This window comes from Homo sapiens, chromosome 12, assembly GCF_000001405.40.
Source record: "Homo sapiens chromosome 12, GRCh38.p14 Primary Assembly".
In the NCBI taxonomy this organism is placed as follows: domain Eukaryota; kingdom Metazoa; phylum Chordata; class Mammalia; order Primates; family Hominidae; genus Homo; species Homo sapiens.
Window position 1 is genome coordinate 89,698,416 of NC_000012.12, and position 23,065 is coordinate 89,721,480.

Sequence of the window (23,065 nt, forward strand, 5' to 3'; positions counted from 1 at the left end):
TCCAGAAAAGTCAAATTATTCTATAGCGACAGAAAGCAGATCGGGGCTGCCTGAGGAAAGGAGGAGCTGGGGTAGGGGAAGGGAAGGAAGATAAGGAGGCACAAAAAATTTAGGGGAATGATTACCTGACTGTGGTGGCGACTGTGGAAATATATACATGCCTCAGAACTCAAGTTTTTCACTTTAAGTGTAAAGTTTATTCTATGCCAATTATATCTTAGTAAGACTATAACAAATTTGTTTATGAGAAAAAAAGGACACAAACTAAATAGAAGTTCTGGATTCAATATGGGTTTCACAGTAGGGTGAGCTGACTGGGACATTTTCTTTGGAGACACAGACACAGCCAATGTCCGATTCTTGAGGTCTTTTACCTTGAGCTGGTCAGGTTAGATAAGACACTTCTATTCTGGCCAGAATTCTGAAAGCTGGGTGAGGGAAGAAGACTGGTGATCTTAACATAAATAGGTAAACACTCGGTTTTGAGTGTGGTACCCTGGTTTTCAACTGTATTCCCAGTGTGCATAGCCTTCTCCAGAAAGCAAGCTTCCAGCCTTCTGCAAGGATGAAGGAAAAGAGATCACAGAGTACAGACAGAGGGAAAGATATCTGGGTATCAAATTCCTAAAATTTCAACCAGTTCTCCCGTTTTGCCCCCCTGTCCCCTCTTCACCATGGGTCCCATGTTTTCCCAGCTTTGAGCTCTCAGGGAATTCTATAAACTGACTTGTTTCTGGGCTTTTCTATTACTTAGAGATCAGCTTTTTAAGTCTACTAAGTCAACGCCTTCTAAAATTTTGGTGTGGGTTTCTCTTCTCCCTTGTGGATTTATGGCTTTTTTAAAAAAGAATTCCCTTATTCTCATTTTAGTATATGTTTGGCAAGAGGCAGAGTTAAATGCTAGTAATATGCCACTTGTTTAACTGAAATCTTAGATAATTTAGCTTTTCAATAAATGTATTTATCTTCATAAATCAAACACGGTGTATCACAGACGAAACGTCAAAATGATGACAAAGTAGTTAAAAGACAAAATTGGAAGGCAAACCTAACAGAATAAAGAAATAAATGGTTGAAAGTTTGGGGGGAGCGGGTAACCTGTTTTTGCTATACAAATTTTGTTAAAAGCCAAATTTTCAAGAGAGAAAAATCAAAACCCCCTGACTTTGTACTTTTTGAGGAGTTAAAGAAACCAAGTGATTTATCCAAGACAAGTGGGCTTTTTAGTGGTGAAGATAAATTTCACATTTAAATCTGGTGAGTCCTTAACATATCATGGAGTAAAAACCAAAACCAAAGGAGACACAGGCTCTGAGAAAGGTGGGTATTTCTAGCAAAAGAAATGCTGTCAGCAGGAGGGCCGGAGGTGATCAAGTTCCAGCATTAAATTATGTACATAAAAACAGTAGTGCTTAAGCTCAAAGGCAGGGTCATCTATTTTTTGAGACAGAGACGGTCTCCCTCTGTCGCCCAGGCTGTAGTGCTGTGGCACAATCTCAGTTCACTGCAACCTCTACCTCCTAGAATCAAGCGATCCTCCTACCTCAGCCTCCCAAGTAGCTAGGACTACAGGTACACGACACCATGCCTGGCTAAATTTTTTTTTTTTTTTTTTTTTAGTAGAGATGAGGTTTTGTCATGTTGCCCAGGCTGGTCTCAGACTCCTGTGGTCAAGCAATCCTCCTGCTTCAGTCTCCCAAAGGGCTGGGATTACAGGCAGGAGCCACTGCGCTCGGCCAAAGACAGGGTAACATAAACTTTACCCTAAATCCACTGTGCATGCAGAAAGGGGTTGACTGACGAATCCTTGTTTTTCTGAGACTCGACATGCAGACAGTTTGATGCTAGAGGAGCTCCCTTTCCTAGGCTTTGTCATATTTCTTTCCCATTCACTGACTGACCTTCCTTGTTTTCAGCCCTCTATTTGCACTGGTACCCTTTAACTCAGTAGTTCTCCGCTATGGTATTAGTTGTCAGGAGTGTCCACACTTAAGTACCTTAAGTTCATGAGTCATTTTTTAAGCAAACAAAAAAGAGTAGTTATAGCACTTACTTTCTTTTGAGCATGAATAGAGAAGAAAAGGACAGAAGTATAGCAAAGAAATTAAAAATCTCTTAGTATTAGAGGTACTAAAAAAATCTAGATATTAGCAAGGGAGAATGGAGTATATGTCAGTATCATCCATGAGTGTCCCAGTAGAAAAACAACTTACTAATCTAACCAATTTCACTTTTGCTGATTCCATTCATCTCTACCTTCAGATTTCTTTTTATTTTCTTCACTACCAAAACCACTCCTGTGCTACTCTTTGACCAACAATTTTATTATGATTATTATTGCAACGTCAATTAAAGCAGGAGCAAGTCTTAGAACTCCTTCCACAATACCTTACCAACAATTAGACCTATAAAATTTAAAAGGTTGGGAGAATACTCAATAGCAGTGCACCTGTAAGGTCTCAGCTGTGCTAATCATAGGAAAATGAATAATTTCTGGAGAACAACTCTTATTTTTTCAAGCATTTTTAAATATAACAGCTTACATACTAAAGCTATATAAATCTTTAGTTACTTAAATGTCTAAAATTACTACTCTATGTATCACTCAGACATTCAATAGAAATGATAAAGTCAAATACAGGCTTTCCTTCTTGACTTCTTGGCAGCTGGAAGAATAATCCATTGCTATACTCTAATACAGACCATATACCTACTCTTCTTCCTGATGCCTAGTGATTCTGTAGCAGGTCATGATCTAACAGTTTGCTCTCAGTTCATGGAACGGCAGCAATGATATGATGCTCAGTCTTTGGTCTGTCTAAATGTGCCCATTCTTCAAAACTCAGCATTACTCCACCCTTTCCCATCATCTCTCTTTGATTTTCTGGTCTGAAGTCCTCCGGGTTGTACACTTCCCATTTATTATCCCTTTGTCTTAGTAATTCATTTGGAGATAACATAAAAGAACTGAGATAAGATATAGGGTTCTATATCACGATATATAGAACTTTATCCAGCAAATGTTCAGGTACTATTTTTTTTGGCATATTGGTTTAGGATTTAGACATTGTGTAGCTTCTGTTAAAGTAAAGCAGAGAAGGTTAAGGAAATTTTTCTGGGAGATTTTTAAAACCTTTTTACCTTTGGAATTTTAACCTTACTCAGATGGGTTCATAAGGCAATGTTTTATTTCTGGAAGATAGCTACATACATTTCACAGAATGTTACTAGGACAGTAGAATTTAGCTTCTCTACAGGCAGGACTTTTCCACTTCTGAATTTCAATGTGGCAGTTAATTTGGTTTTTTTGTTTGGTAAACAGGTTCTTTGCTGTGTCACCCAGGCAGCCTCGAACTCCTGGCCTCAAGCGAACCTCCTGCCTCAGCCTCCCAAAGTGCTAGGACTTATAGGCATCAAGCACAGCATCTGGCCCCTAAGGGTCCTATCAGGTGAGAGGAAAAACACATACACATTCACAACAAAAGGATGAGGGACCACCAGACTCTAAGACCGTCACACAGTGGACAGTCAGCAATACTACAGTATGCAACACAGCTCTCAACTCCAGGAAACACAATTCATTTTGTGTTGTATGTGAACAGCATCCCCTGGAGTTGTGCAAAGCAGTGATCCTGGTACACAAAGTTAACAAGGTGAGATGTTCCACTAAAGGGAGTTTTGTGAAATGAGAGGACAAAACACTAGCCACATTTAGATTCAGCCCTTATTAGCACCTTGAAGTACCAGAGAAGTTCCAAACTGCATAAACCAGCATATCCTGGAGTTTGGTTGTGCCTCTTTCCCCCAGGAAATCCCTATTAATATTTTTTGGAACCAGCATTCTAAAACACAATTTAGAAAACACTGAGCTACTTTATAAAAGGCCTTCAGAGTCAAGTTGTATTTTGATAAAGAGAAAAATAAAAAAAAGATGAAAGTTTTAGTGAAGAAACTGTGGTTTAAAATAGGTTATTGAAAAACAAAAGAAAATTCTGGCACAAATATGAAAGGTAGATTAAAGCAGCAGATCTGAGAGTTTTGAGAGTACAAGATTATTATTTAAAATCCTCCTGAGAGAGAACTCACTCACAGGGTTAATACAATGAATAATAGATCCACATTGTTAATAAAAAAGTATTTAAAAAGCATCTTTCAAGTTAAACAGTCAAATCTTCTTTAAGACCTATTTTTTTCAGAAAACATAAATTTGACTCCTAAATTTATCAGGTCTGTACAGTAGTCATGCCAGTTTACAGTTAGGCAGTGTAATCTCAGATTTCACAGTGTAAGCAAGCATTGGTCCATTCAACACTACCTTTATTTGTTCCCTCAGAGGCCCAGGTGACAGTAGTATTACTACAAAAGCAGGTATCCCATATTTTAAGAAACCATATTGTTGGAAGTCACTGTACTTAGAAATACCAAATATTCTTATAACTAAAAACACCACATACGATTTGGAATAGCTGACACTGTCCTAGGAAAAATTTAATAGAAAATAGCTTTTAAAAATATGGCAAAAAAAAATGTGCCCACAGTTTATTTGGACCTCTCTGCCAAAAATATTTATTAATTTAGATTACCATAAGCTTTAGTAAATTACAAGCTATGATTCCTAAATAAACCTTAAGGTGTAGCCAACAAGACTAAGTTTTGGAACAAACAAAAACAGGTTCCCAACAGTCTTGAGATGAACCTGCTTTGAAATTAATTTTATTATAAAATATATTTTAAATGCAGATACAGGCTATTTGCTATACTGTTATAAATGAAGCAAAAAACAACTGCATTTCAAAACTGGTCTTAAAGAGGAAAATTATTAAAGGCAGGTAATTCACGTGGATATGGTATTAGATAAAATAGTTCCAAAAGTCAGAGTAGATTGGTGAACTACACAAACGGTTATTTAACATTTAAGTGAGACAGCAGTAACTTCTGTTTTAATGCATAAAATAGTAAATTATCAATTAGTATGCTATCACTAATATTCTTGGAAGATCTACTTGCTGTTTTTGAAAGAGCAACTGCTTGTTAACTAAAATTAAAGAGAGCTATCTATCCACTAACTTATGTCCTTTTAGTCTGAAGGAATATCCGATCTTTTCTTCTAACAAAGAGCTAGACTAAAGGATAAACACACACTACTGTAAGGATACAGCATGCATTATTTTTATGAATATAAACTCTGGTGTCTAAGTCATTTGAAAATGGCAGACATTAAGACATGAAAATAAAAGAACATTCTCTAATAGTTTACAGTGCTTAATAAGTAACTTAAGTAACCACAGATGGATCTTCTGAAAGACTGGGCATACATAGATAACAGAAATATTTTCAATTTATCAGTTCTAGGATTGTCACAAAAACCATCGACATCAACAAATCAAACTTTGCTACTGATTTAGGTATCTCTACCATGTAACTTTAACTTAGTTATAAATGCAATGTCAATGTTTCTCAAAATGCAGACTACTGTAGCATTTGGCCCCACCTCAAATCTGCTGAATCAAAATTCCAGGGGCAATGCCAAGGAATCTGCACTTTCAGTAACTCCCCCAGGTGATTCTTCATGCACATTAATGCTGGAGAACCACACCTTTCTTGTGAGATTTATAACCAGGTTTTGGATTTCAGGAACTAAAACCTCCTCATTTGGAACCTTTTAAACTAAATTTCATTACAGAACAAATGAATATTTCAAAGAGATTTAGGTAATAAACATGTTATAGTATAAAAACAAGTGCATAAAAAGTTACAGCAGAAATTTAAAGAAGAAACTTTTAGTACAGCACATTTTATTTTTATTCAAGATTTAAGACACCCCTAGGCCAACAGTTCTTTGAAATCAAAATTCCTAACTTAAAAAAATCCACAATATTAAAAATATAGTATTTCAGATACGTTCACATTCACTCAGCTGTTAAGTAAATCAAAACACAAACTGTTTGTATTACACCAAATATAAGTAATGATTAAATTTATAAAGCTCAACCCAAACAAACCCATTCATATTTCTCTATTAAATTTACTCTGATCAAAACTGATTTTCCATACATAACTTTCATAAACTTACATAAACGTGTATAATGAGAAGAGCAATGAGCAAAATCTAGAAGCCACCTAAAGTCCAGTTTGGGCTAAAAAAGCTGCTAGCTATATGACCTTAGGGCCTAGACAAATCACTTTGCCTACCAGAAAAAAAACAAAAAACAAAAAACAAAAAAAAGTACAATTGTCTGCCTTACTCACCACACAGGATTATTGTGAGAATCAAATGAGGTCATATGTAAATACATTCTGAAAACTGTAAAGTAGTTAATAATAATACCTGTGATTTCTGAAGACAGCAAAATTTGAGAGACACTATCTTTGGGCACCTGCTGTAAAATACACAAACTACCACCAGAAAAATTAAAATGTATATGCCACTAAAGAATCAACGAAGAACATAAAAACTGACCATTCAGATTTAATTAGATATTGGACACTATTGAGTATACCGTATTCTGAAAAATACAAATACAAAAATTCGATTCGATTACCTGTCCTATGTCCCCATTTATAACAGAACCATTTCTTGTGTTAAGATATAAATGAAATGTGATGGACCACGAGAGTTGGTAATTGTCAAAACTGGCCAGTAAGTATATCATTCTCTCTACTTTCCTATGTTTGATAATTTCTATAATAAAAAATTTTAACAAGACAACAATATATGTGGTATGTATAGATAACATTTCTAAAAGCTAAAAAGTGAATTTTTTAAAGTTATTTATCTTTATGAAAATTATTCCCATAACCATTGTATGTTATTTTCCTGGCAATGTCACCTCAGATTCCACCTAGTCCCAAATAAGCTACTATTAGTACCTTTATTACATATCATGACAGCTACTAGAAAATAATTATTCCCTTCCATCTGGTCAATACTCTTGCCCGAGATGCAAAAACCTAAATGTTTGTTTCTGCTTTCTGATCCTCAGTCCTTTTATTGTTTTTTGCTCATCCATTACAAAATTCCAGAATAAAAAAGTGAAAACATCAATTTTACTGTATTCATGTGTAAAATGTAAGGGAAAAAAACCAAATATTATTTTGTTCAATATTACAGAAGACCAATAGTTATAAGTGGCCGTTCCTTTTAAAACTCATTTCCCATGGTAAGAGACTGTTGCATCTGAAATGAAGTTAACATGTCTGTCAGTCAAAGGAAATTAGTAAATCTTACTCTGAAATCAAGGAATCTATGAAAGTATATATAACAACATATAATTACTCTACATGCAACAATCTAATAGCTCAAATAATGTCCTTTATCCCGGGGCCATATTCCATAGTTCGACAGAGAACACATAGCAGTAAGGGGATAAAACACCTTTCATCTCAGAGTTTTTGGCTAATTTTAGTTTAATAAAGACTTATCTACAGCTCAATAGCCAATGCTTTACATTGTCTATAGAGAAATTGCAAGTGTTGAATGAAACCTTAAATGCAGATAGAAGGGCAGTAATATTTTGCGGTTTGTAAGTAAGACTATATGTAATAATATCCACATCTTAATTCATTACTTGGGAGCTAAATCCCTTTTCTCATGTTACATCAAAAAAGGAGGCTGTGCCTAAAGAGACAGTGTTCCTTATACTTATGATTTGGGAAGGAAGGGAAGGGAAAGAAATCTCAACTGTCACTACAGTAACTCTTTTCTAAGTATTAAAATCTCCATTTATTTTTACATGAGATGCACCTGAGAGGAGCCATGTATACAAACCACTTTTTCTAACATGGTCTTTATTAAACTTTGAATATAAGTACACCTGCTCGAAGTGTTCATCTATATTATTTAAGAACAAGCAACTGTAAAACAGTAAAATCACAAAAGGTAAGTTGTTGGAAGACAACAAAAAAGAATTACTATATCTGATCCTGCGTGTTTATTTTAGAATCTGTTAATAGGCCTACAGCTAAAAAAAAAAAAAAAATTGTAAAGCCACTGTCATACTGGTAGGTACCTTTATTTGGTGGCAATGGCTAGTTCAAACCACCTATTAAAAGCAGCTATTACTTTCCTTCTTTTACCAAGAATATCCAGACCATCAATATTATTATAAACACAAATCAAAACTAGTTTCTCATCTCATCTCAGAATGCTAAAATCCCAAGCTTCAATAAAAAAAAGATTTCCCATACAATTGCAGAAATTTCTCTCAAAAGAGAAATGAGAGAATACAGAAAAATGAAGACAATTCCCCCTTACACGTCAAAATGGGGATGCCAATAATGACAGCTGCGATAAAAATCAAGAAGGCGTACCCCGAATTTTCACCATTTTAATAAAAGAAAATCACGAAATTTTAAATTAAAGGTGGCGCTCTGTCCTCAACTCACCCGAATGTGACTCACTTTTGCAGACTATATGGTAGGAAATTAACAGTTACTTTTCAAAGATCTTTGCAGTTACACCCAAGCCAAAATCAGGACAGAGATCCACCCTTAATTACAGCAATTTAGCTGTCTTATCTAAAGCAAGGTAAAAACTAAAACGTCCTCCTGAAATCATAGCTAAATAAGCCCATTTCATATACTAGCTATCAAAGGTTCCCAATTAAAAAAAAAATGTTTCTATTTACTTCAAATTTGAACTCACCAGGAGGATAAAGAAAAAGAGAGGGGAGGAGGAGGACCCAAATGAAACGCACAAGTACAAAAAGCAGATTCTCCTCCAATCCCTCTTAATTCCCCCAATCCACCCCTGCCACACACAAGGACAGGGAGTCTCGGGAAGGCTGGCATCGGGGCAAGTGGTGAAGGCCCTCCATTCACTCACGTGGGCCACCATCCAAAGGGTTACACACCCTCTGCCAGATGAGAGCCTCATACAAACCAGGCCCTTACAAGTACTTCTTATTATAAAATACACCCACGCTGAACAAAAGCCTTATTTTAAAATAAGACTGTCCTCAGGTGGGGGAGGTTAAACACAACAAAGGCTTCCATGTTGACAGGCAGACAAGTTCAGATATATGCATATACCTACACACGTATGAAAAAAATCTATGTAGCTAATTTATCACGAACAGCAATCGATACCAACAGAAGCCATTAGATTATTAATAAACCAAGAAAAGTAGCGGGCACAGAAGCGAAAGGTGGCTGTCTGCAGCGCTCTAACCCAAAGAAAAGGTAAATATCAGCCTGTCGAGGAGGGTCGAGCCCTCCAAGTACCTGCAGACCCCTTTAACCCACCCGGACGCCCTGCCCTCCCCTCCGAGCCAAGCAGCGCACAGGGTGCGAGCACTCCCAGCGCTGCGAGTCCCGCAGAAAACTGGTGAATGAAATGCGCACAGAGACCAACCTGGCTGGTGACCGCGGCGCAGAACCAGGGGTCGCTAACCAGCTTAGCCACAGGATTCTCCCGCAGGATGGGATAAAGAGAGCACAGCCCCCACCCCACACCCCTGCCACTGGAACGCGGTCCTCCTACAGACTCCTTCCTCAAAAAGGGAGGTGGGGGCGCAGGCTTTTTTCTCTTAAACTAAGTGAATAAACACGAATCGGAAACAACTGTGAACATCCTGGGGGGCCAGACGGAAGGCGTGAGGAGAAAGACCAGGCGGCTCTCCAACTCCCGAGGAATCACCGTCCTGACACGCCAACAATCAACCACCAGGGCCAGGGGCCGACCAGGGGCCCCCGCTCCCCTCCCGCAGTGCGTCTGGGGGGCCGAGGCCAAGGATTAGAGGGGTGACCCTCCCGGGGCGCGGGGAGAGGGAGTGCCGGGCACGGTGCCCTCAAGGTCACCACGCGCCGTGGCGGGGGCGACCGGTGGCGGGATGGGCTGTGGCGCGGCCGAGGCGGCTTCGTGAAGCCGAAGACCTGCGGGTGTAGACCAGAAGCCCCAACAAGCCCCATCCCTCGGGCCCGGAGCAGCGACTCCCAGACTGACCCGGCGCTGAGGTGCACGGCGAGAAGCCCGCTCACCTTCACAATCTCCCGGCAAGAGGCAACCTGCGAGGGGCCCCGACCGCCCCCGTCAGCTTCTCCCGAATCCGGCGCAACCCGCTGCGCACCCAGCTATCAGGATCCCCGCCGCGACGCCCGACCTCCGTGCTCCGCCTGGCCTCCCCCGCAGGTGACCTGCCCCGCCGCCCCCGGCCGCGGGCGGGCGGCGGCCGCCACTCACCTCGCCCGGCAGTGGGAACCATTTTCCGAGGGGGAAGGAAAGGCAGGCTGCGGGAGGGTCGCGGGGCGTTAAGGGGCAGCGGGAAACGCAGAGGATGGGGGCTCCGTCCTCAGCGCGTCCGCAGCCGGCTCGCAGGGCTCGGGGCGCCACGCGGAGGTGCAGCTGCACCTCGGGGATGGGGCGGCCAAGGAGCCGAGAGGCTCGGCGTCCACCAGCCGGGGCTCCCTACTCACGCTGCACTGCGAGGAGGCGGCGGCGGCAGCGAAGGAGGAGGAGGCGGCGCCCGGCCGTCCCCGCCCAGAGCCCGGCAGCCACCGAGTGGCCGCCCGCGTCCCCGCAGGACCCGCCTCCTCGGCTCCGCAGAGCGGCACACAGGGCGCGCCGCGCTCGCTCGGCACGGGCAGCTCAGCCGGCCTCACGCCGCCGTCCGCAACAGCAGCCGCGGGCGGGGTGCAGCCACCTCCGTGAGCGCCGCAGCCCGCCCCACTCGGGGCGGGGCCCGCGGGCACCGGAGAGCGGACGGCCGAGCACGAGGGGGCTGCGCGCAGCTCCGGGCAGGGACCCCGTCTGCACCGGGTGGCCTGCAAGATTGCCGGGGTAGGCAGGGGGAGGAGAACGCTCACCCGTTCCGGTCTGGCGCTCCCTTTTCTCCACACCCACACGCCTCCCGCTCCACGCTGGCGGCGCAGCTGCTCCCGCTGCCACAGCCGCCACCGCCGCCGAAGCTCGCGCCGCCGCCGCTGCCGCCTTGGCTGAGCGCGGTCACGTGACGCGATCCGCGGGGAGCCTGGGGGCGGGCGAGTGCGCGCGCGCGCGCGCGGAGGAACCGCGGCTCGGACCGGGACTGGGAGCTGAGCGGCACTGGGAGGGCGTTTAAGGGGAGGACCCGGCGAGCGCGCCCTCGGCTGGCGAGCGCGCGCCTGGCGATTAGAACTTGCCGCGCGGTCGGGAAAGGGTGGCCGGAGTGAGGGGCGGAGGTGGGGACTTGCGCCTCCGCACGCCCCTCCCTTTCTTCCTTCCCCTGAGCGCCTTGGCTTGCCGCTGCCCCCGCCCCCTCCAGCGCGCCCCTTCCCTCCTGCCGCAGCCTGCGATTGGCTGAGAGGCTCTGACGTCCGTGTTTCCATGACGTGTTGGTGCAGGAGGGAGCGGCGGGGGAGGAGGGGGTGGCCAGGCGCGCGGGGAGGTGACTCCGTCAGTCACAGCTGCTGTTTCGGCGCGGGGCCGGGCCGCTGCCGCGACGTGTGGAGGCAGGAGAGCGATGATTGCCGCAGGAGAAGTGCGGGCGCCCTTCACCTGGGGCCCCTCCCGAACCGCCCCCGGGCCCATGCCCCTCCAGGGCCCAGGAGCGAGCCAGCGGGAGGGCGAGGGCGAGCGCTCCTGGCGAGGACAGATTAAGGCGAACCCCCAGTCAGCGGACATTTGAGCGGCTCCTCGCCGCGTCTCTGCCCCCACTCCAAACCGGACTCGACGCCTGTCCCGGGCCGTGACGCACGCACCGGAGGAAAAAGTGCTTCTCGGCTCGCTCCCTCTTTGGGGAAGAGAGCTCACTCCCCATGCGGGCGCGGGACACTCCATCTCTGTTCCTGCCGGTCGGGTCCGCAAACACCGGGGATCCCAGCTGCGGCGCCCAAAGGGTTAACGCAGGCGTTCGGCCAGTGCAAACCGGCCTCGCAGGATCCGCGCTTAAAATCCGGGTGTTTTCATTTTGGGTTTGTTTCTTCTACTATGCCAAGCTGGTGGCTCTCTTTTAATTCTCTTGTAACATCTCAACCCTGCACCCATCTTTCCTGAGGGGAAAAGGAAACGGGATAACTTGCGGTATTTCGATGCTCAAAGGTAACCGGCGGCTCTGCTCCAACCTTCAAGAGATTTTGCAAGTTGAAAAAAAAAAAAAAACCATCCTTCGTAACATCTACTTAAAAAAAAAAAAGCAAGTTTTCCTTCTTGTACACGCATATACACAGTAAAGATGTGTATCTTACCTAAGATACCGCGCTTCATCTTCATCTAATCTTTATTTGAACTCACCGTCGCCACTGGCCCAGAGACCTTGTCAGTGTTATTTTCAGTATCAGTTAATCAGAACAAAAAGATAAGTTCTGCAATCTTCTTTCTCTTAATTCCAGAACTGGAAAATTAATATTTATATAGCCTCCTCAAAAGCATACAGGCAATAGGAAGTATGGTATTATGTTCACGATCTGATGATAGCATTTGTTTTAAAATATTTTAAAAGATTAGACACAAAATGTGTAAAAGACGTTTAAAAGTGAATAAATATAAATCAATGCTGTTGCAAATAATTTTTTTATCAGTTTATGTATCTCACTAGGCTTGACATTACCAGCCTTCTGAGCTGTGCCCTTGATGTGTAAGATAAACGAACATTGAACAGAATGATAGCATTTTTCCTCTCTTCAGTCACTGATGGAGAATTGGTTAATGTGGTACAATAAATAGCCCTTCCTGACACTATTTCAAATCTTTTTAACAGAAGAATAACCTAAATTTCACCTAATAAATTTCAATATTATTTCCCCCTAAAATATCTTTCAAAACGACTCAGAGACATTTAAGAATCACTGGCTTTTTTCCAACTTTTCCTCCAAGGAAGTTACAATACAATGTTGAATTATGTATTCTACTTTAATCAAGAATTTGACATTAAAGTAATATGTGAATCATTGCTATAGTACACTAGCAAAATGGGTAATAAACTAGAATCTGTTCACTTTGTGGGTTTGTTCCAGTTCCAGATTATAAAATGAATGCTCTTAAAGTGTTGTGGTCATGAAACAATTATTGAGCATCTTTATTTAAGAACACGATTCAATTAAGTTTTCATTTATATCGATAAATCTATAAATGAAACATACGGAATATATATATTCATGTATATCCATAAATGAAAACGTGTGTGTGTGTGTATCCCGGAACATATTTGTATGCATTTTAATGAAATGTGAGTCATATGCAATGACAAACTTTTACTGTCATAGTCAAGAAAATTGTACTGTAGTTTGGTTTTTATATTTTTATTCTTCAAATAGGAAATAAAGGGTGAAAGCAATATAGAAATAACTGTTCACATTACATTAAGAAATTCAATTTTTTTCTCCCACAGGCTTAGTACTAAAGCATCCCTCACACATATTTTTCAATGTAAAAATCAAGAAAATATTGCATTGCTTACTGTTTCCTTGAAAAAAAATTGAACTATCTGAAATCAAAGATGCCACTGTATGTAACAGTATTCTCTTAATCTTAGACCTAACTTATCCCATGTGTTTAACTGATCTAGAGATGTATCTTTGCATAAGGAACAATATAATAATACAATTTACTGGGGAAATAATATTTTAAAGTTCTTTTAATATGCATTTTAGCTACAATGCAAAACTTATAAAAGTATTTAAATCCAGTCAGGTGCGGTGGCTCACGTCTGTAATCCCAGCACTTCGGGAGACTGAGGCGGGCAGATCACGAGGTCCGGAGATTGAGACCATCCTGGCCAACATGGTGAAACCCCGTCTCTACTAAAAATACAAAAATTAGCTGGGCGTGGTGGCTCATGCCTGTAATCCCAGCTACTCAGGAGGCTGAGGCAGGAGAATCGCTTGAACCAGGGAGTCCAAGGTTGCAGGGAGCCGAGATCGCACCACTGCACTCCAGCCTGGCGACAGAGTGAGTCTCAGTCTCAAAAACAAAACGAAACAAAACAAAACAAAAAAGTATTTAAACCCCATGACAAGTTACCATATGAGATGTTAACATTGAAGAGTGGCTGCAGATTCAAAATAATATATTTGGTATTTTTAAGGTATGCTCTTTTTCATAGAGTAAATCTAAACAACTGAGATATTTGCTGAAAAGTTGATCGATTCAAGAGATATAACACATGAAGACAGTTTTCTAAAATCCTCAATGTAATTAAGTGTAAAGAGAAACAAAGAACTTTATTCTGTCACATGCATCTAGCAATAGGACAAAATAAAGACATATCAACTGCAGTGTATTTTAAAAAACATATTCTTTCCCCGTAAACACATTTTACATATGTGAATGCATCAGTCCTGATCATTACAGAATCCTAAAGAGGACTGATAAGTACAGGGAGGCAGAGAAGGAGGATATTAAATTCTTAATTTAAAATAGCTGTATATGTTCTCAAATTTCTATTAACCTGAATCACCAGAGAGAAGTGTCAAGAGAAAGATTACTTAGCTGAAACCCACAGAGAACTGTTATCTATTAGTAACAAATTACATTTGCTGAATTAAATGGAGTATAATTATATGTAAGCCTAAAATAAGAATTTTCAAGTCACATAATGGAAAATTTTTATAGGTGAAAAATGCAAAATCGTTAGATGTCATTTGACAGGAATTATTAGTGCCTACATACAATGTGCTCTTCTAGGTATAACACATTTTTTTTAACCCCAAATGTTCTAACCCACATAATATGGTCCTAAATCTAAATTCCAGAGAAGCGAAAAAGACGTAGCTCATACCTAAATGTTGAGGAAGTTTTTCTAAGGAGGATTTGGACTTGATTTGTGCTGAAAGAGATATAGGATTTAAATTAATGGAAAAGATCCGCAGTAGTAATGCCAGGAAACGTACCTGGGAACTAATAAGTTTACCACATTTATTTTTCTATCCTTTAATATTCAAGAAACGTGTTCACTACCTTTGATATCCCTCACTTCCCGAAGTGGAACTCGTAATTTTCTCACTAATAATGGTGAGTTATGATGTTTCATAATCATCAATAATGGTGAGTTATGACACAGGGTGATGAGGTTTGGGTGAGATATGTATATAAAGTTCTTAACATAGTGCTTGATGTATAGTATATGTTCAATAAATGTCATAATTATCATTCATAAACATTCTCTATTACCAAGAAGATATACCAACAGCAGCAAATGTTACTCATTTTTACTTGTTTGATGTATTAAGCCATTCTTGTGTTGCTATAAGGAAGTTTCTGAGGCTGGATAATTTAAAAAGAAAAGAGATTTAATTGGCTGACAGTTCTGCAGCGTGTACAAGCATGGCACTGGAATATGCTCAGCTTCTGGGGAGGCCTCAGGGAGCTTTTACTCATGGTGGAAGGTGAAGCAGGAGCAAGCACATCACATGGCCAGAGCAGGAGGAAGGAGAGAGGTGCTACACACCTTTAAACAACCAGATCTCTTGAGTACACACTATTGGGAGGACAGCACCAACCTATGAGGGACCTGCCCCTATGATCCAATCACGTTCCACAGGCCCCACCCCCAACACTGGAGATTACAATTCAACATGAGATTTTGAGGGGACAGTATTCAAACTATATCATTCCACCCTGACCCTTCAAATCTCATGGTCTTCTGGCACTGCAAAATATATTCATCTGTTGCCAATAGTCCACCAAAGTCTTAACTCATTCCAGCATGAACTCAATTAAAAGTCCCAAGTCCAAAAGCTCATCTGGAGATGAGTTCCTTCCACCTATAAGCCTGTAAAATCAAAGGAAGTTATTTTCTTTCAAGATACAGTGGGGCTATAGGCATTGGGTAAACACTCCCATTTGTAAAGGGAGAAACCAGCCGTAAGAATGGGGCTACAGGACCCACACAATGAAATCTAACAGGGCAGTCATTAAATCTTAAAGCTTCAAAACAATTCCTTTGATTCCATGTCCTGCATTTAGGGCATACTGGCACAAGGGTTGGGCTCTCAAAGCACTGGGCAACTCCACCCCTGTGGCTTTGCAGGATTCAGCCACCATGGCTGTTCTCACGAGTTGGAATTGAGTGCTTGTGACTTTTCCAGGTGCAGGGTGCAAGCTGACAGTGGATCTACCATTCTGGGGTCTGGAGGATGATGGCCACCTTCCCATAGCTATACTAGGTAGTTCCCCAGTGGGTATTCTGTGTAGGGAGTCAGATCCCACATTTCCCCTTGGCACTGCCCTAGTAGAAGTTCTCTTTGAGGGCTCTGCCCCTGTGTCAGGCTTCTTCCTGGGCATGCAAGCTTTCTCATACATCCTCTAAAATCTAGGTGGAGGCTGCCAAGCCTCCTTCACTCTTTCACTCTGTGTACCAACAGGCTTAACACCACATGGAAGCTGCTAAGCCTTATGGTGGAAGGCTTACACCCTTTGAAGCAGTGGTCTGAGCTCTATCTGGGTCCCTTTGAGCCAAGGCTGGAGCTGGAGCAACCAGGATGCAGGGAGCAGTGTTCCAAGGCTGCACAACGCAGCAAAGTCCTGGATCTCGCCCATAAAACCATTCTTTCTTCCTAGACCTCTGGGCCTGTGATGGGAGGGGTTCCCTCGAAGATCTTTGAAATGCCTTTGAGGCCTTTTTCCAGTTGTCTTGGCTATTAGCACTTGGCTCCCTTTTAGTCATGCTAATAACTCTAGCAAGTGGTTGCTCCCCAGCCTCCTTGAATTCCTCTCCTGATAATGCTTTTTCTTTGCCACATAGCTAGGCTGCAAATTTTCTAAACTTTTATGCTCTGCTTCCCCTTTCAATATAACTTCCAACTTTAAGTCATTTATTTGCTCTTACACCCAAGGATAGGCTGTTAGAAGCAACCAAGTAATTTCTTGAATGCTTTGCTGCTTAGAAATTTCTTCCACCAAATACCCTAAGTCATTACTTTTTAGTTCAAACTTCCACATACTAGGACATGAACAGAATTCAGCCAAGTTCTTTGCTAAGGCATAATATGGATGACCTTTGCTCCATTTCCCGATAAATTCTCATTTGCATCTGAGACCTAGTCAGCCTGCACTTCACTGTTCATATCACTGTCAGAATCATAACCATTTAACCAGTCTCTAAGAAGTTCCAAACTTTCCCTCATCTTCCTATCTTCTTCTGAGCTCTCCAAACTCTTCCAACCTCTGCCTATTACACTATTCCAAAGCTGCTTCCACATTTTCAGGTATCTCTATAACAATGCCCTACTTCTCAGTACCAATTTTCTGTGTTAGCTTGTTCTTGCTTTGCTTTGAAGGCATACCAAAGACTGGGTAATTTATAAAGAAAAGAGGTTTAATTGGCTCACAAGTCTGCAGGCTGTACAGGAAGTATAGCACCAGTATCTGCTCAGCTTCTGGGGAGGCCTCAGGGAGCTTTTATTCATGGCAGAAGGTGAGGCAGGAGCAGATATGTCATATGACAAGAGCAGGAGTGAGAAGCAGAGGAGGTGTCACACACATTTAAACAACCAGATCTCATGAGTATTTACTACTGCAAGGACAGCACCAAGCCATGAAGATCTGCCCCCATGACCCAATTACTTCCCACCAGGCTGCAACTCCAATGTCAGGAATTACAATTCAACATGAGACTTGGAGGGGACAACATGCAAACTGTGTCATTTGGTCAAGTACACTATTATCTTAAAATTATTATTATTTTTTGCATACTGTGAGACAGACATTATTTGTGATACTTTTAAAGTGCACCAAATTTAGTCACTAATCATCACTTAATTTGACTAAATAAAGTCTAAGCCTCTTCCTAGCAAATAAAATCTTAATCTGAATCAGTAAGACATGCTTTTGGCTACAAGTAACCAAGAGCTAAACTAGTAGTGGCTTTAATGAATAGCAGTTTATTATTCTTAAAATTATGGTATGGTTGATTCAGCTGTTAAACATAGCCATCGAAGATCCAGGCTCAACCATCCCTATTATATGATATCAATAAGAATATCAGCAGGATTTTCTCACATTTGTGGTTTTCTAATGCTTATACTTTTATATAATTTTTCATTGTTGCCCATTTTTCTTCAAAACTCCACTTTTAAGGGTACACAAAAGAATCACCTTTATGAGTTTACTGATGCAGATTCCTGGGTCCCACTCCCAGAGCTTCTGATGGAGTCTGGACTAGAGCCAGCAGATCTGCATTTTTGACAGTCCCTTTAGCTGATTCTGATGCACCACATTGTCTGTATCCCTCCTCTGTTATAAGGTAGGAAAACGAAATGTCTTTTTAGGAGGCATTGGCAATAAGAGGATGGTTTATCTATTCATTTATACAAAGAAACTTATTAATCACTTATTACATGCTGATATGGTTTGGCTGTGTCCCCACCCAAATCTCATCTTGAATTGTAGTTTCCATAATCCCCACGTGTTGTGGGAGGGACCTGGTGGGAGGTAATTGAATCATGGGGGCAGTTTCCCCTATGCTATTCTCTTGATAGTGAGTAAGTTTTCATGAGAGCTGATGGTTTTATAAGGGGCTTCCCACTTTGCTCGGTTCTCATTTTTCTCTACCTGCCACCATGCAAAGAAGGACATGTTTGCTTCCCTTTCTGCCATGATCATAAGTATCCTGAAGCCTTCCCAACCATGCTGAACGGTGAGTCAATTAGATCTCTTTTCTTTATAAATTACCCAGTCTCGTGTATATCTTTATTAGCAGCGTGACAATGGACTAATACACATGCCATGCCTAACTGAAACTGGCATATAATGGGCACTTGAAATAAAGATTTGTCCCAAATGAATGAACAAACAAATGAACTATCAGCTCCCTGATGATGAATTCTAAATTTATACCCACAGCCTTGTTCCTTTATTCTGATGACCTGACAAACTTCTTACAGGGTCAATTCTTTTTGTCTTTCAGATAGGAAAAATGGAATGAAGCCAATTCACCAATCATCAAAAGAAAGTCACTGAAAACCAATTTGTTGACCTATGTATTGTTGGTGTCAGAGGAAAAGGGGTCAAGGGAGGAAAGCTGAAAAGTGCTGGTGAGTGAGTGGAGAGTTAAAAGGAAGGTAAGATCTAGAACATATAGAAAGAATTCACCATGAATAGAAAAGGGAACATCTCTTTCTCTGAGGCAGAAAAAAGGCAAAAAATAAAAAAATGTGAAGAAAGAGTAAAATTTGAAGTTTCAGGAGTGGATGACATAGGCACATAAATGTCAGTCTTAATATTCCTTATATAATTGTTGCCTATGATCATTAGCCAGAATTGAATGAGGCTAAGGACTGAAATGGGCAGATTAAAGAAACTGAAGGACGAGCAAAGGATAAAGAAAATGTTACCCAAGGCCCAGGTAAATAAATAGAGTACAATTTTATAGCAATATAGGTTTACATGATATTCTCTGGTGGCTCAAACTTGGGGCTCCCATTATAGTTACAGCTATTAAGAGTTCAGGATATTCTGGTGCAGAGGGATGGAGTTGGGCACTGATTACCAGGCTGTATTACCAGACTGCTTATGAAGTCTTCTCAGGCTTCCGTAATAAAATACCATAGACTTGGTGGCTAAAACAACAGGCATTTATTTTCTCACAGTTCTGGAGGCCAGATGTCCAAGATTATGGTATCATCAGCATTGCTTTCTGGTGAGGTCTCTTTACCTGGCTTACAAATGGCTACCTTCTGCCCTGTCCTCACATGGCCTTTCCTTGGTGCAAGTGCATGGAGAGGTATCTCTTCCTCTTCTTATAAAGACACCAGTTCTTTCAGATTAAAGACCCACTCTTGTGATGTCATTTAACCTTAATTACTGCCCTAAAGGCCCTATCTCCAAACAGTCACTTTGGAGATTAGGGCTTCAACATACACATTTTTGGAGGACAAAATTCAGTTCATAATGCAGACTCATTTGGTTAGCATTTTTCAAAATTCACATAACAAGGTCCTTCAGATCCACTGGATTAGATTTCCTGTATTATGCAACCCCACTCCTCAAATGTTTGTTTATGTATATATACGTGTGGTGTTATGTATGAATGCTGGGACAAATATATGAAACAATGTTAATATACAACTGAGTACAAAAACAGAAGAAATATGCAGTGCTAGAAATAGAGAACTCAAAGGTAGAGTGAGTACACAATAAGCAGATATTAAGCCCAGGGGATTACCATACTCAGAAATAAGTCAGATATGTGTAACCATGGAGTTTTAAAGGTAGGAGATGTGGCTGGATCTGAGTGAGGCAAGGAGCTGAAACTGAACCCTTATGTGCTATGGTCTGAATATTTATGTTGTCCCAAAATTCACATGTTGAAATCCTGACCACTAAGGTGATAGGATGAGGAGGTGGAACCTTTTAGGAGATAAGGCAGAGCTCACACAAATGGAATTAGTACCCTTTTAAAATATAGTAGACCCAGGGAAATTATTCTGCCCCTTCTACCATGTAAGGACACAGCTATAAGGCACTATCTATGATACCTGGAAGTGAGACCTCACCAGACACCAAAACTGCCTCCACCTGGATCTTTCACTTCCCAGCCTCCAGAACTGTGAGAAGTAAGTTTCTATTGTTTATGAGCTACCCAGTCTATGGTACTTTGTTGTAGGAGCCCAAATGGACCATGACACCACATAAAGCCAGAATCCTGCTTTATAGCCAGTGGTATGCTGGTACTACTTCCTACCAACTTACCTAGCTCAGGAAGTGTCACAAAAGCATCAGGGAATCTCATCTTCTTCCCAAGACTTTGGGAAAGAGGTACCAAAAACAAAAGACATAAAATAAATCTACCCTAGTCACATCACTGAGAAACTTCATGACATTAAAAGACAAAGAGAAGTCTTAGCAGCAACCAGACAGGATAAAACAAACAAAAACAATTTAGCATGACAGCCACCTTTGTATTGGCAATTGTAGATAGGCCAAGAGAAAAAGGAATAACATCTTTAAAGTTCTTAGGGAAATAACTGATATGGTTTGGCTGTGTCCCCACCCAAATCTCATCTTGCATTGTAACTCCCGCAATTCCCACATGTCCTGGGAGGAACCCTGTAGGAGGTAATTGAATCATGGGGGCAGGTCTTTCCTGTACTGTTGTTGTGATAGTGAATGGGTCTCATGAGATCTGATGGTTTTAAAAAACGGCAGTTTCTCTGCAAAGGCCCTCTCTTTCAGTGCCGCCATCCACATAAGATTAACTTGCTCCTCCTTGCCTTCCACCATGATTGTGAGGCCTCCCCAGCCATGTGGAACTGTAAGTCCAATAAACCTCTTTGTGTTGTAAATTGCCCAGTCTTGGGTATGTCTTTATCAGCAGCGTGAAAATGGACTAATACAATAACTCTCCCAGAATGTATACTGAGGTAAAATATCATAGGAGTGAAGATGAATGTAACGTTTTCAGAAAAACACTAGGAACATACTTCTCACAAACCAAAAGAGCAGAGTTCCCATCCCAGCACTTTGGGAGGCCGAGGTGGGTGGATCACCTGAGGTCAGGAGTTTGAGACCAGCCTGCCCAACATGGCGAAACCCCATCTCTACTAAAAATACAAAAAATCAGCCAGGCGTAGTGGTGCATACCTGTAATCCCAGCTACTTGGGAGGCTGAGGCAGAAGAATCACGTGAACCTGGGAGGTGGAGGTTGCAGTGAGCCAAGATCATGCCACTGCATTCCAGCCTGGGCGACGAGCAAAATTCCATCTCAAAAAAAAAAAAAAAAAAAAAAAAGCAGAGTTCCCAAGAAAGTCACTCCTTTCATAAACATTTGAAGTTTCTGCGTACCCTGTTGGATGTCTGCATAGGCACAGATGTGTTGACATATCTGTTTTTAACTTAGGAGAGTAAAGAGAAATGGAGAGGGGAGCCAGAGTGAGAGGAAGAGTGGAAGGAGAGTCATCTTTTTGTCCCCACCATGTGGCTTGGCATAGATGCTTAAGTTTCCTTGTAAGACAGCTTGGAATGAAGCTGCCAGCCAGGTGAGAGCACCTATCAGGAGACTACAGGGTGCAGCTCCAGAGAAGAGAGTTACAATGAGGAACAAGAGGTTGGTAAGAAGCCTATCTCATATGATAGGAGACAGCAGTACAAGGCCTTGCTGAGCTCTTCCAGAAACTCCCACATAGACCCACTAAAAAGTCAGTGTTTGGTTGCCTGCCACATTAAAAGTATTGACAGGCCGGGCGCGGTGGCTCACGCCTGTAATCCCAGCACTTTGGGAGGCCGAGGCGGGCGGATCACGAGGTCAGGAGATCGAGACCATCCCGGCTAAAACGGTGAAACCCCGTCTCTACTAAAAATACAAAAAATTAGCCGGGCGTAGTGGCGGGCGCCTGTAGTCCCAGCTACTTGGGAGGCTGAGGCAGGAGAATGGCGTGAACCCGGGAGGCGGAGCTTGCAGTGAGCCGAGATCCCGCCACTGCACTCCAGCCTGGGCGACAGAGCGAGACTCCGTCTCAAAAAAAAAAAAAAAGTATTGACAGCCAGAGGGGATTTCGATAGAGTCTAGCCAAGCAAAGGGACTGCCCTTGTCTTCTCCACCCTCCGTGCCCTCAACACTGGAAGAGCCACAGCTTCCAGAAGGGAAAGGGGAGGGGAGTAAAATGCAGATACTGAGTGAGCACTCTCCAATCCTCAATACACACAGACAGTGATGGGGGAGAGAACCTTTTACTCAGATAGAGATTTAAGATTTTAACAGTAGTAGATTAAAATTTCATTGATAGGCAGTAGAAGGCTTTGCTGGCCTCATCTAAAAACTCCCAGAAGAGTTCAAAGGTCCCAGAAAGTTAAAGGCTCTGCTTCAGATGTTGTTGAGGAACAGGTGTGGAGTATTCATTGGCTCATGGTTGAAATCAGTTGTTCAAGAAAAATACCTCATTGAGCTGAGCTTGAGGCCCTAACCAAATAGGTAGGCAAATGAAATCAGAGTAGGAATAAACACGAGTGAATTGGAAGACATGAAGCAGTTACAGATCACAGATACACGAAACACAGCTTAGGTAGCTTTCCAGAAAGAGGGCTGATGTGACAGGTAAGGACGTACTTGAGGTAGAGACAGGGCGGGAGAATCAATTTTAAAATTTTATATATAAAACTGCTGAATGATTAACACCATGAAAACCTGGCAATGAGCTATGTCTGGTCAGATG

The 23,065-nt window shown here is 42.1% G+C and overlaps 1 protein-coding gene and 2 long non-coding RNA genes across 42 annotated transcripts in view, besides 5 other annotated features; 2 read left to right on the forward strand and 1 right to left on the reverse strand.

The window, feature by feature from the left end:
• ATP2B1 (ATPase plasma membrane Ca2+ transporting 1) overlaps positions 1-10,951 on the reverse strand; it is a 121,318-nt gene extending 110,367 nt beyond the window's left edge. For 20 of the 40 annotated variants that reach the window (NR_182094.1, NR_182093.1, NM_001413053.1 and 17 more), the window contains exon 1: positions 10,804-10,951. The gene's annotated coding sequence lies outside the window, so the exon portion shown is untranslated. Of the gene's footprint in view, positions 1-9,352; positions 9,733-9,978; positions 10,424-10,803 lie in introns of those variants that run through there. The other 20 variants (NR_182095.1, NM_001413057.1, NM_001413058.1 and 17 more) reach the window with 3 other exon arrangements.
• Positions 9,302-9,391: an enhancer, noted in NCBI's record as "active region_6709". NCBI's record gives its function as "activates an Ori minimal core promoter by ATAC-STARR-seq in GM12878 lymphoblastoid cells {active_cell/tissue: GM12878}" and the evidence as "EXISTENCE:reporter gene assay evidence [ECO:0000049][PMID:35858748]".
• Positions 9,402-9,501: an enhancer, noted in NCBI's record as "active region_6710". NCBI's record gives its function as "activates an Ori minimal core promoter by ATAC-STARR-seq in GM12878 lymphoblastoid cells {active_cell/tissue: GM12878}" and the evidence as "EXISTENCE:reporter gene assay evidence [ECO:0000049][PMID:35858748]".
• Positions 9,692-9,921: a silencer, noted in NCBI's record as "silent region_4696". NCBI's record gives its function as "represses an Ori minimal core promoter by ATAC-STARR-seq in GM12878 lymphoblastoid cells {active_cell/tissue: GM12878}" and the evidence as "EXISTENCE:reporter gene assay evidence [ECO:0000049][PMID:35858748]".
• Positions 10,072-11,091: a silencer, noted in NCBI's record as "silent region_4697". NCBI's record gives its function as "represses an Ori minimal core promoter by ATAC-STARR-seq in GM12878 lymphoblastoid cells {active_cell/tissue: GM12878}" and the evidence as "EXISTENCE:reporter gene assay evidence [ECO:0000049][PMID:35858748]".
• On the forward strand, positions 10,540-13,537 carry ATP2B1-AS1 (ATP2B1 antisense RNA 1). The gene has a single exon (NR_028138.1). It is a non-coding gene; the product is annotated as an ATP2B1 antisense RNA 1 (long non-coding RNA).
• Positions 11,112-11,661: a silencer, noted in NCBI's record as "silent region_4698". NCBI's record gives its function as "represses an Ori minimal core promoter by ATAC-STARR-seq in GM12878 lymphoblastoid cells {active_cell/tissue: GM12878}" and the evidence as "EXISTENCE:reporter gene assay evidence [ECO:0000049][PMID:35858748]".
• Positions 13,822-23,065, forward strand: part of LOC107984543 (uncharacterized) — a 104,864-nt gene continuing 95,620 nt past the window's right edge. Inside the window, exons 1-2 of the long non-coding RNA XR_007063399.1 lie at positions 13,822-13,864; positions 18,822-18,948. This is a non-coding gene — a long non-coding RNA (uncharacterized LOC107984543). The remainder of the gene's footprint in view (positions 13,865-18,821; positions 18,949-23,065) is intronic.